At 46.1% G+C, this 16,796-nt stretch overlaps 1 protein-coding gene across 2 annotated transcripts in view, besides 1 other annotated feature; it reads right to left on the bottom strand.

The window, feature by feature from the left end:
* STOX2 (storkhead box 2) overlaps nucleotides 1-15,999 on the bottom strand; it is a 225,509-nt gene extending 209,510 nt beyond the window's left edge. For both annotated transcript variants that reach the window (NR_132761.1, XM_017008466.2), the window contains exon 1: nucleotides 15,966-15,999. The gene's annotated coding sequence lies outside the window, so the exon portion shown is untranslated. The remainder of the gene's footprint in view (nucleotides 1-15,965) is intronic.
* Nucleotides 13,743-14,304: an enhancer, noted in NCBI's record as "NANOG hESC enhancer chr4:184720870-184721431 (GRCh37/hg19 assembly coordinates)". NCBI's record gives its function as "activates a minimal SCP1, AML or CMV promoter by ChIP-STARR-seq in naive H9 embryonic stem cells {active_cell/tissue: H9 hESC(naive)}" and the evidence as "EXISTENCE:reporter gene assay evidence [ECO:0000049][PMID:30033119]".
* Nucleotides 16,000-16,796: the final 797 nt, after the last annotated feature.

Here is a 16,796-nt window from a genome sequence, read left to right as displayed (position 1 = left end):
AATATTACAAATATTCCAAAATTTTGCAATATTATCTTAGAGATAGCCCCAGAAATAAAATTACTACATCAAACTATATGAACATTTAGATGGCTTTCTCATACAGACTGCCAAGATACTTTCCAAAGAAGAGTTTTTTCAACTTATAATTTCACTGGCAGCACATTAAGGTATCAGATTTATTTTACCCTTGTCAGTACTGAGTGTTTTTCCCCCAGTGTTAAAATGGTAGTTTAGAAATTACTACCAGCCGCCAATTAGCATTGACTCTACCTGTGAGGATATTTATGTAATACTTATAGATCCACATTACATAGAAAACTGAGCTCGAAAATATAAACTGAAGTTTATAGTCTCCACCCTCAAAGGAATTACAATCTAATGGGAAAGACACATTCAAAGTGTCCTGCTAACATAAGCAAGTAGAACACACAGGCCTCCCTCGGTACAGAGGATCAGATACCAAGAATACGAAAATCCACGGATGCTCAAGTCCCTGACATCAAATGGCAGAGTATTCACAGATAACCTACTCACATCCTTCCAGATTCTTTAAATCATCTCTAGCTTACCCATAATACCTAAAGCAATGTAAATAGTTGTTAGACTACATTGGCTGTTTTTTCTTTTTTCTTTTTGAGACAGGGTCTCACTCTGTCACCCAAGCTGGAGGGCAATGGCATGATCTCAGCTCACTGCAACCTCCACTTCCCGGGTTCAAGCAATTCTCCTGCCTCAGCCTCCCAAGTAGCTGGAATTACAGGTGCCCGCCACCTTGCCCGGCTAATTTTTGTATTTTTAGTAGAGACGGGTTTTCACCATGTGGACACACTGGTCTCCAACTCCTGACCTCAAGTGATCTGCCCCCCTCGGCTTCCCAAAGTGCTGGGATTACAGGCATGAGCCACCATGCCCTGCCTGTATTGGTTTTTTATTTGTATTTTTTCTGAATATTTTCCATCTGCCATTGGCTGAATCTGTGGCCCCAGAACCCACAGACACGGAGGGCTGACTTTAAATGCAAATTATTTTTTTAAATAATTGATCACATAAATGGTAATCATTTTCAACTTTTATGACTTGAGAAGGCAGTGTGTGAAATATCTTCATTGAAATGCTTGGACAATCTTTTTGGTATGAGAACAAAATCAGCACAATGACCTACATACTTGGAAAATTAAATATGTTAGCAGTGTTACAAAGGGCTGCATTCATTCATTAGAGTTCAGAACTTTTGAGTACATGGGGTCAGGGCTTAGAGAAAATCATTCACATTCTCTCTACACAACTGCACACACTCTAAATCCCTCCTTGAAAGTAAAAGCATTTTTTTTATTAGATCACACTCTCGATCCTTAGACTGGGCAGTACAGATTTATATTCTGAAAAGTCAGTCCTCACAAGTAGTCACAGAAATGATGTGAACTCACCAATTCATGTTGAGCTGCTCTTTAGAAACAACTGTAATGCATATTCTATCAGCACGTAACTGAGTTTCTACTAATAAACTTCCAGAAATTTTAATGAGGGAAGAAAAAATCATTTAAAAATTTAATACTGATTTTAGCACTTTTTTAAACAAATCTAAAAACCCTTAAATTGCATAGACATTTTTAAAGGTATTAAGCACAATGCAACTTTATCAATTAATCATCAGTTTGAGTACATTTAAAGTAAATTTAAAGTTATAGTTTATTCAAATTACATGCAAATTTGCTGGCTAAATATGATTTCACATTTTAACTGCAAATATAGCTACAAACTGCTGGACTTTAAGAAAATCACAGACGGCTGGGCATGGTGGCTCACCCCTGTAATCCCAATGCTTTGGGAGGCCAAGGCAAAAGGGTTGCTTGAGCTCAGGAGTTTGAGACCTGCCTGGGCAACATAGTGAGACCCATCTCTACAAAAATAAAAATAAGTTAGTTGGGTGTGGCGGCATATGCCTGTAGTTCCAACTACTGAGGAGGCTGAGGTGGGAGGATCACTTGATTCCAGAAGGTAGAGGCTGCAGTGAGCCATAATCACACCACTGCACCCTAGCCTGGGTGAGAGTGAGACCCTGTCTCAAAAAAAAAAAAAAAAAAAAAAATCCAGGCTTTCTCACTAGGTCATTTTATAAGAAATGGGCTCACACTTAAGAATAAAAGAAACTGATATTATTTTAAGAAAACAAAGAAATTTTGGAGCTTTCTGAACCTTATCTCTTCCATAGTGTCAAAGACATATCTAAAGTATTCATTTTTAAAAGAAGAAAGAGAGGAGAGGAAAAAACTATTCATGAATTAAACTTTTTTCACAGGAAACATTTTCTAATTAGTCACATATCACTGAATTAACACCATCAACAATTTCCATGTGAATCTGTCTTCATGGACTTCTTCAAACTAAAGATTTGCTGCTATAAGCAGCTTCTATTCCCCTTCCTGCTTTTATTTACTTCTTGATTTGGCATAAGCAGTTTTAAACATAAACAATCTCTTCCACATGAAGGAGATGGAAGATTTAAAACAGGAGAAGCATGTGACAAAAACCAAAACTTGTCACCCAAAGGAACAGCATGGCGCTTCATACTTTAGGCCTGGATCAAATACCTGGTGCTTGTAACGTCTGAAAATCTGTTCCTAGGATTGCCTGAGGGAGCCGCTTGTTCTGTGAGCCAGTTTAACTCCATAGCAATGCCCACATTTCTCACCTTTCTGCTTTTGAATTCTGGATCTAACATAGACTTAACACAATATAAACTGGAAACAAACAAAAACAATTCCAATTTCCAAACCAACTGATGTAGTCTCCTAAGAATAAACGGGTGTCAGTCCCCATGTACCATCTATCACCCCTCCCCGTCCTTTGAAACTTGGTCAGTGACAAAGATTCTCTGCTTGGCCAAACTGTAGTCAGTCTCTTGAACCTTCTCGTAGGCCCATCTGTACACTTCCTTGTAAAATCACTTTAGCAAAAGAACCCTGCACTAAATCGGTTTGACAAGAACCCCAATCCTTGATATCTGATCAGGTTTCTCATCCCCCACCACCCCCGACGTGCTGTCTGATCACCCTGGCCTGTCTTCAGCAAGAATTCTATTAGGTAGGTTTAGCCAGAAATCCCCTCGTGCCTTGTCTTAGTCCATGTTGTGCTGCTATAACAGAATACCACAGATTGGTTAATTTATGAACAACAGAAGTATATCTGGCTTATGGTTCTGGAGGCTGGGAAGTCCAAAATCAAGGGGCTGAATTTTGTGAGGGCCCCCTGCTGTGCCACAACATGGGAGAAGCCATTGCATGGGGTGGGGGTGGGGGTGAGGGTGCAGGCAATTCATCCATTTATCCAGAACCCACTCCCAAGATAACAGCATTAATCCATTGATGAGGGCAAAGGACTCATTGCCTAATCACCTCTTACAGTTCCCACCTGTCAACGCTGTTGCACTGGGGATTAGATTCCAAGATACGAACTTTGGGGAACACATTTAAACCACAGCACCCCTGATGTTTCTTGGTAGTAATTTTCCAGCCACTGACTTCCACCCAGCTCTTTCTTTGGCAATGAATTGCCACTTGCCCATGCTGTGTTTGGAGTTGAGCCTAATTTCTCTCCCCTACTGCAAAACCTTGTTGCACTGCTTCCTGTACCTACCATGGTGGTCCTGATAAAGCCTTCCTCACAGTACTTTAAAAGTAACATTAAATAATTTTTTCTTTAACCTAGGGCAGAAGCATCCTCAACAGTCCCTGGTCCAGATACACAATGAAGGAGGTTTCTGGGCCAGAAAGTGAGCATTTTACCAACTCATTCCTACACCAGTCCCTCCCTGCAACTGCAAGGTGGCAGCTACACTTACCTCTGTCCCCACTACTCCTCCTTAGGGTCAAGGGTAGAGAATCCGGGTTTATTTATCCATGCAGAGCAGTACTGTAGTTACAAGGTCAAAAGGAAACCACCAAACAAGTTAATTCTTCATAGGTAAAAATGGCAGTGAACATTCGAGAGTTATGCTCTATGAATTCAGTTTACTGTTAGTGATTTACAAAAAGCTGACATTTCACAGTCTTCCATAGAAAAACCTATCTATAATTTTTTGGAGAATAAAAGATGCTCATAATTCAACTTTTAAAAAGTATTTCAGAGGGAAACAGCACTTAAAACATTTTATCAAAAATAGCAAATGCAAAATAAGTGTACTAAAGGAAAAGATACAACGGTAATGTTGAAAGTCTGTATGTTTTTCTGTTTTGGCTTCTAGAAAGTCAAGTACATAATCAAAACACAAATCTCTGTATTTCTCCAAAAGTGGAGAGTTGACTTAAAAAATAAAAGTCAGGGCCGGGAATGGTAGCTCACACCTGTAATTTCAGCACTTTGGGAGGCTGAGGTGGGCAGATCACGAGGTCAGGAAATCGAGACCATCCTGGCCAACATGGTGAAACTCCGTCTCTACTAAAAGTAGAAAAATTAGCTGGGTGTGATGGCACGTGCCTGGAATCCCAGCTACTCAGGAGGCTGAGGCAGAAGAATCACTTGAACAAGGGAGGCAGAGGTTGCAGTTAGCCGAGATCGAGCCACTGCACTCCAGCCTGGTGACAGAGCAAGACTCCGTCTCAATAAATAAATAAAAATAAAAATCAGATCAGGCCAGGCACAGTGGCTCACGCCTGTAATCCCAGCACTTTGGGAGGCCAAGGCGAGAGGATCACTTGAGGAAGAGTTCGAGACCAGCCTGGGCAACATAGTGACATGTCATCTCCACTAAAAAAAACTTTATTTTAAAGTTAGCTGGGTGTGGTGGCTCATGCCTGTAGCCCCAGTTACTTGGGAGGCTGAAGCGGAAGGATCTCTTGAGTCTGAGAGCTCAAGGTTGCAGTGAGCCGTGATCACACCACTGTACTCCAGCCTGGGAGACAGAGCAAGACTCCCTCTGTCTCAAAAATAAATAAATAAATAACAGCTCTAATTCGTATCCAAATTCCACAAAATTCAAGCATGTCCTATTGTTTACAATGCGTACAGATGAAAACTTTAGTACAAATTCATCACTACCCCTAGAAAAACAATTCAAAGCAATCAAGACCCCCAGTGTCTTAAAGTTTCTTAAAACAGTATGAGATTTTTTTTGCCATTTTTTTTAGCTCATCAGCTACCATTAGTGTCAGTGTATTTTATGTGTAGCCCAAGACAATTCTTCTTCCTATGTGGCCCAGGGAAGCCAAAAGATTGGACACCCCTGATCTAACAGAATGAAGAAGTATATAGCATAAAGACTGTCTTCTAGAATGTTCCTTTTTCAATATAAGAGGAAATGCTAAAGATACAGGTAAAAATGAAACAAAGATGCTAGAGTAACCATTATTATCTGGGAACAGACAGTGTCTAAAGTACTGCTTTTGTTTTTCTACATTACTGCATTTCCTATATTTAAAACGTACTGCTTTCTGCATTTTCTACATTACCTCACAGTCTACTAACGATTAAAGACTTTCCTTGGACAAACTTTTTGTTACAAATTAATAACCAGGCTCTGATGAAAGGAAAGTGATCAACCTAGACAAATTATGCTAGTCACAAAGTCCCCCAAAACAAAAAACAAAGGATGCTTCCCGTCTCTGCGGTTCTATATTAACTCCAAAGTGAGCAGGCCTTCCAAGGCTTTCCCAGCCTATCACGACCAACCCAGGACAGAGGGGAAGTGACCGGTCAGGAGAACCTGGAGCCCAGAGGCACTGCTGGAGGGAGTCAGGCGAGGATTGGAATGAATGGTGGCGCTGTAACAAGACTACAGGAGAGATGTAACCCTAACCGATGAGATAGAGAACTGGATTTCTTTCCAGAAGCGCCGCAGAGTTCACTGAGCTGTATCCTCCTTTCACTTCCTCAGGAAGAGTCCAGGAGAGTCTGGTTTATTGACCAGAGAACAGAGATTTAAAAAGGAAAAACCAAAGTGATTCGTCCAGACTGGACAGTTCTTTTCACCCAGCAGGTGTAATGTGGGGTCCATCTGCTACGGGAACCCGCGCTGATCCCTTAGTCCTCCTCCTGGCCTTGGCGAAATTGGCTGGGAGAGCTCAGCCCGCCCCGCAGGCCTGTTGGGTAGATAAATCCACAAAGAAAGCGGCCTGATTCCCAGCAAGAGCCTTCCGCTGCAGCCTCACGGACAGCAGGCAGCTGCTCCCCTCACACCTCCTCTTCCTCTATCTTCTCCCTCGCCTTTTTTCAGCTCCCAGTCATGCATCTGGGCCGTCTCCCATGCTCCCATCTCCCTGCTGACAGCCCACTGCTTCAAGAGCACCCTGGGCCCTCACCTGCCTACCCCACCTCCCCCAGCTCAGCCTCTTCCAGCTCCATCCACCCACCAGGGCTGCCAAACAAGCAGGCAGGATTAAGAAGCTGAGCTGGGAGTGGGGTGGGTGTGGGGTGTGGGGCTGTGAAGGCCGCAGAGATAAAGCGCAAGTGTTCCCTAGAGAAGGTGTCACCCAAAGCCAAATGACAAAGAGGGAAGGCGATGAGACACGGTGGCCAGAGAGGCTGCAAACCCTGGCGGCTCGGGCAGGCTCACTGGCGCCTTAGGCTGACAGGTGGTTTGCAAGGACTGCAGGACTGTCCCAAGAGTGGAAAGCATCCCAAAGGGGTCACACCAGAAGGGCCTGGGGACTGCTGTCCATAATAAAATTTGTTTTGGAAATCATATCCACCGTGGTGCCCCTCTAAATATGGAGAAGTTCTCCTCCCTTTTTCAGCATGAAAGTGTCAGAGGCCGGGCGCGGTGGTTCAGGCCTGTAATCCCAGCACTTTGGGAGGCCAAGACGGGCAGATCACGAGGTCAGGAGATCGAGACCATCATGGCTAACGCGGTGAAACCCCGTCTCTACTAAAAATACTAAAAATTAGCTGGGCGTGGTGGTGGTCGCCTGCAGTCCCAGCTACTCGGGAGGCTGAAGCAGGAGAATGGCGTGAACCCGGGAGACGGAGCTTGCAGTGAGCCGAGATCGCGCCACTGCACTCCAGCCTGGGCGACAGAGCAAGACTCCGTCTCAAAAAAAAAAGAAAAAAAGAAAGTGTCAGAAAGCATCTGGGACTCACAAAGGCCCCCTCCAGGCATGGGGGCTTCGAGCTGTGGGGCCGTGGGGGCAGTGCATGCGGGGGAGTCTGGAATCTCTGAAGACCACTTGCCTTACAAGGGCATGTCCTGGGCCCTACCGTCCTGAACACGAACACATAAATGTTTGTTTCCTCAAAATTTGGACGGCGGCGGACCTTATTTAGAAGTAGAAAGGCAGAGGTGTCATCATAACCTTTTGTTGCAATGGTTTGAAAAGAAAAAATAGTCCAAATCCTGGAGGGAAAGTGGGGGTCGGGGGAAGAAGGGAGGCACCTGACACAGCGCTGGCAGAGGCTGAGACAGAAGGAAATGCTGTCACACGCAGAGCTCTCAGGAAGCAGGCCACAGCGGGTCACTGCTCTGGGAAGCCAGCCTTCCAGCCAGCACCGCCGCAGTATCCCGGGGTTCACAGTGAAGACAGAAGGCTGCAGCAACCTCAGGCGGCAGGAAGATGGGGCGCCCCAGACTGGATTCCACCCCTTCAAGACACCAGGAAGCCCTCCGTGAGCTCCAGGGACTCCCGGATTCATGAGAAGGAGGTGATTTTGGACTCACTATGCATCCCCAGCTTCCATGCCAGAGAGCTAGACTAAGGGACATCATGTGCTTCCCAAACGTACGTTATTGGGGAGTGGGGAGGTGACATCCTGCTTACAGAAGCAAGTCATTTTACACTGACAGATGGGCTGTCACTTTAGAAAATTATTACAGGGCCTTCACAATAAATTGGGAAAATGGAGTCTTTAATCGTGTTTATTTTCATCTTCAGAGTGAAATCTACAGCACAGAGGTATGCTTCCAAAGTGTTAATGTCATAAGGACAAATTCAGACCTGGATCTGCTCAGCATGGGGTCTCCCACTGTCCCATGCACTTTCTCAACTTACCCACTTAATTCAGGCCCCAAAGACTTGGATGAATCCTTTCTACCTCTTTATCTAAGTCATTTATCCATTTATCAAATTCTCAAAGACACACCGCCAGCTCTGGCCCTTGGTAGTGTCCAGCCTGACTGGTCCGCATCAAGAGAGACTGATGCCAAGCTATCAAGAGCTGTTTAAGCCAGCTCATCCCACGCCAGTGTGATTTTTATTTTTACTTTTTGTATTTATTTAGATAGGGTCTCACTCTGTCACCCACGCTAGACTGCAGTGGCACAATCTTGGCTCACTGTAGCTTCCATCTCCCAGGCTCAAACGATCCTCCCACCTCAGCCTCTCAAGTAGCTGGGACCACAGTCACACAGCACCATGCTCAGCTAATTTTTTTAAAACTTTTTTGTAGAAATGGGATCTTGCCATCTTGCCCCAGGCTGGTCCAGAACTCCTGGGCTCCAGTGATCCCCTCACTTAGGCATCCCAAAGTGCTGGGATTATAGGCGTGAGCCACCATGCTTGGCCTACTGTGATTCAAGTGGATTAAAAGCTCTTGACAGAAGGCCTTCTTAAAAATCCAGATCTAGCTATTATTATAGTATACTATAAATTAAAAAATTAGATCCAAAGCTTGTACTTTGGCAATACATCTATTTATTCCTCATTGAGATAAACTATAGACCATATCGTTAGTTTCCCCCAAATTAAGAAATGTTGGAAATCATATCATGTCTACAGCTATGCAACAAGGGTTTAAAACTTATTTAACAAATATATAAACTAAGTAGAAGGATACAAGTACAATCTCCAAACTTCAAGTAACTAATGTTAAAGCCCACCTCATACACTGAAAATTTTATTTTTAAGGTGACCAGATCATCACTGTGTGTGATATTTTAGGCAGACTGAAGACATTTAAAATTCCTTGCAGCAAATAGTTTGTATATAACGAACTTTCCCGGGTTTTTACCGCAAAATATATGATCGACCTCAGGAACAGAAAGCATCTAAATACTTTCAACCCGTCGCAAGACACAGACACCGTTTCAGTTTAATGAGCCCTTTTAAAAGAACTTGGCAATAACCAGCAAATTTACCTCTTGATGCAATTTATTTTCCAAATTCAAAGTAAACCCACAAGGAAACAAACGTGCTCAAGATCATAATTAATCTATAAGCAGTAAAATTTATAAATCTTTGCAAAGCCAGATTTATCACAGCAAGACCTGGAATCTCAGAAGTTCATTCTAAATGCTTTATTACAATGAAACTGACAGCCTTTGCTGAAAACATCTTTGAGCCAAAGTGAGATAATTCATAAAAATGGTTTTTATGACTAGCTAGAAGTCACTAAAGTTTTAAATGCATCCTTGTTCACTGTTTAGACTTAATCCTGAGATTTTAATGTAAGAGATAAGCTTCTTTAGGAGCCAGGCCCGCTTCTTAAACTTCTCTAAATTTTCTGCCGACCCCAACCCAGTGCACATTTCTGGAGACTCATGCCTTCTCTCTGCAGAATACCATCCCACACGGCCCCACAGGACCTGGCCTGGGCCTGCTTCTGACCTCAGCTGCAGTCACACCTTCTTCTCCTTTCCTGGCTCAACAAGCCCAGCCCCATGGGCCACCCTCTCTGTTTCTCCAGCATAGCAAGCTGATTTCCACCTGCTCCTCTGTCATTGCTGGTTGGTGGATACCTGCCTCATTGGTCAAGTGTCACCCCAAATGAGGTACTGTCGAGTAGTCATCCAAAACACTGCTTCTAGCATCCCAGGGCCTGGGTTCACATCCCGGCTCTATCACTTATTAAGTAGGCATCCCTGGAGAACATTTATCTTTCTGTTCCTTAAGGTCCTTATTTGTATATGGATAAAATAATGATACCTAAATGGTATAGGTGTCTTAAAGATTAGATTAGATCATAAAAATAAAGCATTTAGAAAATAGTCGGTGATCAATAAATGTAAATGTTAGCTATTCTGTCATTTCTCCCCAGCGCTCTCTATTCTATCAAGTGCTTAATTTTTACAGCATTTAAAAATATTAGAAATTTTTATTTCTTTAATTCTTTTCTTTCTTTTTTTTGAGACAGAGTCTCACTGTCACCCAGGCTGGAGTGCAGTGTCGTGATCTCAGCTCGGCTCACTACAACTTCTGCCTCCCAGGTTCAAGCGATTCTCCTGCCTCAGCCTCCCAAGTAGTTAGGATTACAGGTGTCTGCCACCACACCTGGCTAATTTTTGTGTTTTTAGTAGAGACAGGGTTTCACCATGTTGGCCAGGCTGGTCTCAAAGTCCTGACCTCAGGTGGCCCACCTGCCTCAGCCTCCCAAAGTGCTGGGATTACAGGTGTGAGCCACTACGCCCAGACCATTTCTTTAATTTTTCAAATGTCTGTTGTGCCACTAGAATGGAGCCTCCAAAAGTACAGGGACTGTATCTGACTTGTTCTCCACTTCAGTGCCTAGAACACATCCCAGGAACTGGTGAATGCTCTAGTCACTGAATGAATCAATATCTACAATTTAAAAGGCTTTAAAACAATTGTTAAGCAATTCAAGCTATTCGTCTAGGAATATTATTCAATTTTAAGTTGACTTAAGTAAGTTATTGAACTGTAACTTCTTTTGAGTATACAAATGTCTGTGGAGTGTACATTTTTTTTTAATAATTCTAGGCCAGGCTTAGGTGCTAACATCTGTAATCTCAGCACTTTAGGAGGCTGAGACAGGAGGACTGCTTGAGGCCAGGAGTTCAAAACCAGTGATTTGGTTTGGAGCTGTGTCCCCACCCAAATCTCGTCTTATAGCTCCCATAATTCCCACATGTTATGGGAGGGACCCTGTGGGAGATGACTGAATTATGGGGACGGATCTTTCCCGTGCTATTCTCATGATAGTGAATGGGTTTCACGAGATCTGATGGTTTTAAAAAAGGGAGTTTGCTTGCACAAGCTCTCTTTGCCTGCTGCCATCCACGTAAGATGTGACTTGCTCCTCCTTGCCTTCTGCCATGATTGTGAGGCTTCCCCAGCCATGTGAAACTGTGAGTTCTCCATTAAACTTCTTTCCTTTGTAAATTGCCCAGTCTCAGGTGTGTCTTTAACAGCAGCATAAAAATGGACTGATACGGGCCGGGTGCGGTGGCTCACGCCTGTAACCCCAGCACTTTGGAAGGCCAAGGCAGGCGGATCAAGAGGTCAGGAGATCGAGACCATCACGGCTAATACGGTGAGACCCCGTCTCTACTAAAAATACAAAAAATCAGCCAGGTGTGTTGGCAGGCGCCTGTAGTCCCAACTACTTGTAGTCCCAGCTACTCGGGAGGCTGAGGCAGGAGAATGGCGTGAACCCGGGAGGCGGAGCTTGCAATGAGCCGAGATCGCACCACTGCACTCCAGCCTGGGCGACAGAGCGAGACTCCGCCTCAAAAAAAAAAGAAAAATGGACTAATACAACCAGCCTTGGCAACATAGGGAGACCCTGTCTCTACAAAAAAAAAAAGTTAAAAATTAGCCAGGCTTAGTGGTGTGTGCCTATAGCCCACCTACTAGGGAGGCTGAGGCAGGAGGACCACTTGAGCTCAGGAGTTGGAGGCTGCAGTGAGCCATGATAGTGCCACTGCACTCCAGCCTGGGCAACAGAATGAAACCTTGTCTCAAAAACAAAAAAGAAATCTGTCTTAAAAATCTACTATTTGGGGAAATCACTTCAAGAAAGCAACTCTTTTTGAGAAAACCAATAAAAATTTTGGAAAAGAATAAAATCTTGATGCCCATGTGTTCTAAACAATTTTATAATGCAAAATACAAGTTCTGATATAAAGTCTAAAAAAGTGTATTTGGTCTGAACTATTTAAACATGTGAGGATCAAATGGGAAAGTGTAAAGTGCCACTTTCCCATTTGGGGACAGAGATGCACCTGTGCTCCCTGAGGTCTGGAGGGGGAGCACGCACATGGCTCCACACAAAGGCTAAGGGCTTGTGGCCGAGGCTAGAAGGCCCTCCAGCCTCAACCAGACTAATGGTGTCTTTCTTCGGGTACTAACCGTGGCCTGTGCAAGTGTACCGAAGGAGAGCAAACACTCTAAAGAAGCACTTGGCATTTCTCCCTCTGTTTCAATAGGCCTAGCTAGTGCTCCTATTTCTTTCTAATCCCCTCCCAGTCCCACCCTTCACCCTCACTGGCATGGAATTCTCATTGTAACACAGATCAAATCACTTCATTCCCACCCTTGCTTAGAAGCCTCCAGTGGCTTCTAGATCTTCACATCTGGCCCTCTCCCACCTTTCCATTGTCTTATCACCCCAGCCAGTTTCCAAACACATCAGGAACTCTCCAACCCCAAGCCTTCACTCAAGCTCCGGGCACCTCCTTCCCCAGCAGGGAAAGTTCTCCTGCTCTGCAGGAACTCCCGCCCCACCCCCATCTCCATCTGCACAAGATCAAGTTCAAGCCTCATACCTGGGAAACCTCCCCTACCAGCTCACAAGACAGAAGTAACTGCTTCTCGTTCACTCAAAACAAAGAGTCCTCAAAGCATTTAGCACACTCTCAATTTCTTATGTCAGAATACCCCAAAAGATGGCATGTCCCATCAGTCTTCCTATTTGCAGGAGTGACACAGAGGCTGGCGCTAGAAAGCACTCAATAAACATGTATGGGCTTTAATTTACTGTGATTTACTCAAAATACATAGCACAATTTTAAAACATTACCAGCATCCTGTATACCCTTTGAAGGGTTCTGAAAATCAAAAGTCCAAACTTTTTTTCTATATGCCCACAGTAGGTTATTTCTAAGAATGGACTTGCAAATTCTAGTAGGTTATTTCTAAGTAGTGAATTGGAAGATGCCAAGTCAAAACCACTTTTCCTTTGAGTGGCTTAACACCCTGCTTCTTGTTGAATCCAGTAATTATCTCCTTGTTGTCCAACCCTCACCTGAAGTTTTACAGTTGGTTAGAACCATATACTTTTGGAATTACAGGCACCAAAATGCTTATGATTTCAACACAGGTGTTTCAAGTTACAGCATAAAATATTAACTCCTGGCAAATCCTGCTGTGAAAGTGTAGGTTTGCCTCAACTGTACCACAGCACAGCCAGACAAAAGCACCGGGGCTTGCCTGTCTCGCCCCGCCTGTGAGCCTCTCTGCTCTGGGTTGTGTGAAATCATGCACCCAGGCGAACCCAAGTCAAGAGACAGGGCAAAACCGTTCCTCTCCTTTCTTCACTGGCAGGATCTAATGGGACACTTTTATTACCACTCTCTATGGTGGGATCTAAGAGATCATCTGAAACACAACCAATTTTTATAAATAATCTGTATCCCCCACAAGAATGATAAGACTTAAGCAAACTTTTGGCTACCAGTTATTTCAGAGGACTATTGGTAACTGATGAGCTTAATTCAAGTTCAACAAGTGGGAATGTAATGCGCCTCCTGTAAAGCTCATCTATGTGTCTGGCTCTATGGCCGTTTCATATGCATGAAATAATGAGCTAAAATCCCAAAACAATGTAAAAGGACCTGACGATATATGTACTACAGATGGGGGTCAATTGAAAGGGATGCTGCAAGAAATGTATTACTAATAATAAAGTATCAAAGATAGCATTTGGTTTCTGGTTTTGTACGTTTAGCAGTAGATCGATTCTAGGCTATTCCTATAACATCACGCTTTTCAGAGCAGAGTTTCAGCCAGGATCCCCCATATCACCGCCCCGGCCCCCCGCCAGCATTTGAACTTGTCATCACGTGTATTGTGACTCAGAATAAAAGGTTGTGAGCCAATCCTCATCAGCTTCCAGACTGGAATTGCAAAGCCCAATAAAAGATCTGGCAACAAAAAAAAATGAGGAAGCCTGCAGCAGATATTGAGAATTTTTATAGTAGATAAAAATCTTTCAAACAATTCAGCATTTTACCGTCATTACTGAAGCAAAATTGGAATTCCAGTGGAGATTTTTAACCCACCCCACCCCCCAGGCAGTTCAAAAGAAAGTTAGCACTTGGATCCCAGCAGGTATCACCCCTGCTCTTTTATCTGATGCTTGGGCTTTAAGAGGGAGTCCCTCTGCTTCCTCTGAGGGTGCAGAGGTAAGGTGAGGAGCTCAGTACTACAGAGGCTGGCAGGCCCCATCAGTTGCCAGTCAGCAGAGACAGCTCAGGCCAGGCCACCTACCCAGGTCAGGGCAACAGTCAACCAATTAGAGCAATTTGGAACCTTTAAAAATTGCCAAAATATTTCTCTTTGGTTAATATGACAGATCACCAATTCCTATGAACTTATAAATTCTGCTGAAATAAAAAAAATACATGAGCATACTGAAATATTTACAAATGAAATCAAGTTGATATAATGTCTGAGATTTCAAAAAAGTACGGGTAGGGGGTAGATGGGGGTATAAATGCAGTAAGACCGGCCATGCCATTGATACTTTTTGGAGCGGAACGTTGAGTACACGGTGGGGGTTCAATATAATATTTTTGAGTTATACTACTTTTGTATATATTTGAAATTATGCAAAATAAAACATTAAAAAGTGTGAAATCGAATTTCAAAGAAAATTATTAAAAGCCTGTAGAGCAATCTATACGGTGCATATAAATGACTACGTATATCCTTACGTCCTAATGTGTCACAGTCCTACGGGGCAAAAGCAAGTTAAGTCTCAGAGGCGTTCACCTTGGCCCTTTACGGAGGCCGCTTAATTTCAGAGACTGAGGTTCTTGCTAAAGTCAAAAGAATTGAGAAAATCAAGGCACCTTTTGAAATTCAGCGCAGGTTACAAAATACACAAGATGCAAGCTTTACTAGCTTTTTGTCTACTCAAGTCAAAGAAAGCTTTGTAAAGATCTCTTCTCTGCCAAAATAGACAAAACACAACAAAATAAAAATGCTATAAATTCGTCACACGCATAGATGGCGTCACATCAGCAGGTAACAGCTAATCCTTCAGAGGAAGGCGGCATAGCAACAGCGGGTAACGAGAAAAGGCGGCTTTACAGTTTTTTAGCGTTTGAACTTTTGACCTCCCAAAATGTCAAGAAAGAATTTCTGAACCGCGGGACTAGAAAGAATGCTTTCTTCCTTGAAATTGTTTCCTAAAGCTTTACTATTTACTATGTAATAGTACAAAAACTCAAAGTATAAAACCCAAAGTACAAAACTCAAAAGTATATTCTACAGGCGATGCAAACTGGATTAAGGAGGGGAAATGAAGTAGTGCAATAAAAACCAGCAAGTCAAAGCAGCACTGGAAACGCGGCGGCGACCTTCACCTCTGGGCGACTCTGCCCCTCTTTACGTTTTGCTCTCTTTTGTTGAGGATCAGATTTTTTTTCCTCCGGCCTCTTTGTGTCTCTTCCTTCCCTCAGACACACAAAACGACTTGAGAGATGTGCTGCAGGTGAGACATTTAAGACGAACTCTGCAGCCTTGCCTCGTTGAGAAATGCGTGCGCGCAACACTCAGCCTCAACCCTAGCTTCCCGGCGCGTCCCCCGCAGTCGCCGCCCAGGGAAGGGCGTCCCGGGCGCACCTGAGCCGCCGCTCCAGCTGGGAGCCCCGCGCGACCCGAGCCCCGGAATCCTCCCCGCCCACCTCCGCCCGGCCCGCGCACTCCAGCCGCGGAGCAGTGCCGGGAGGGGGACACTCACGCGCCCCGAGCGCCGCGCCCTCCGAGCCGCCCGCCGAGCCGCGGCGCCCACCTGGCCGGCCTCAGGCACCGCCCGCCACCGGGGAGGCTCCCGCGGGCAGGCGGGGGCGGCGCACCGGGAATGGGACGGCTCCCTCCTTTCGGTGCCAGGAAGTTCCCCAATCCCACGCTCGCAGAGGGCCCCCGGCTCCTCCCCCGGCAGGGACGCGGGCACCCAGGGGAGCCTCGGCGGTGCCCGCGGCGGGCTGGGGCAGGGCGGGGCACCCGCGACCGCACGGCACGGACGCGATCCGGTGGGAAGGGACGGGACGGGCGCGCGGCGGTCGCACTCACCCAGGCAGCGGATGTGGAAGCCCGAGGGCGGCCGCAGGGCCCGGCGCGTCCAGCCTTCGCGCAGCGCCTCCAGATGTTCCTCCTTGCCCTGGATCAGCAGGACCTGCTCGTCGATCCAGCCCAGGAAGAAGGTCTCGGCCACCGCGGCCGTGACCTTCTTGTTCCAGAAGTGCTGCATGTTCTCGGCTTTGAAGTCGGCGAAGATCTCGTAGCCGATGTGGTGCCGGGCGAGCTGGCGGGGCTGGGCCGGGGGCGCGGGCCGGGCTGCCCCTGGCCTTTCCCCCGCCGGCGCCTCTGCCGGGCCCAGGACGATGGCCAGGGAGTGAGGCGCGATCTGCAGAAACTTCTCCATCTTCCCAGGCATCTGCCGCGCCGACCTGGCTCACCGAGGCCGCCTCCCGCCGCTCCCAGGAACAGCCGCCGGGACGTGGCTGCAAGACCAGCGGGGAGCGCGACCGTCCCCCAGGGCAGGGCTGGCCGCGCCTCCCCCGCGCCCGCGTCCCTGCAGCCCGGGCGCCCGGCGCAGTCCCTGGGCGCAGCCCGCGGGTCGCTGCGGGGAAGGGACGGTGTGCGGGGCCCGCTCCGGCCTGAGCTCTGGACCGCGTTACCTGCAGCTCCGGGCCACCCTTCGGGCAGCGCTCATTTTCCGGCCTCGGCACCCTCGCCTCCCCGGGCGCCCAGCGGCCCCGCGGGGGCGGAGACGCGGGAGGAGGCAGTGAGGGGGCGGGCAGTGCGCACCGCGCCCGGGAACCCCCTCGGCTGGACGCGGCCTGAGGAATCCCAAGGAGTCCTATGAGGGAGGTGGTCGGGGAGCGCGGATGGCCTAGGGGT

Source organism: Homo sapiens, chromosome 4 (assembly GCF_000001405.40).
Source record: "Homo sapiens chromosome 4, GRCh38.p14 Primary Assembly".
Taxonomy (NCBI): Eukaryota; Metazoa; Chordata; class Mammalia; order Primates; family Hominidae; genus Homo; species Homo sapiens.
Note: the sequence above shows the minus strand (reverse complement) of the source record. Positions and strands in the feature narration are given on the sequence as shown.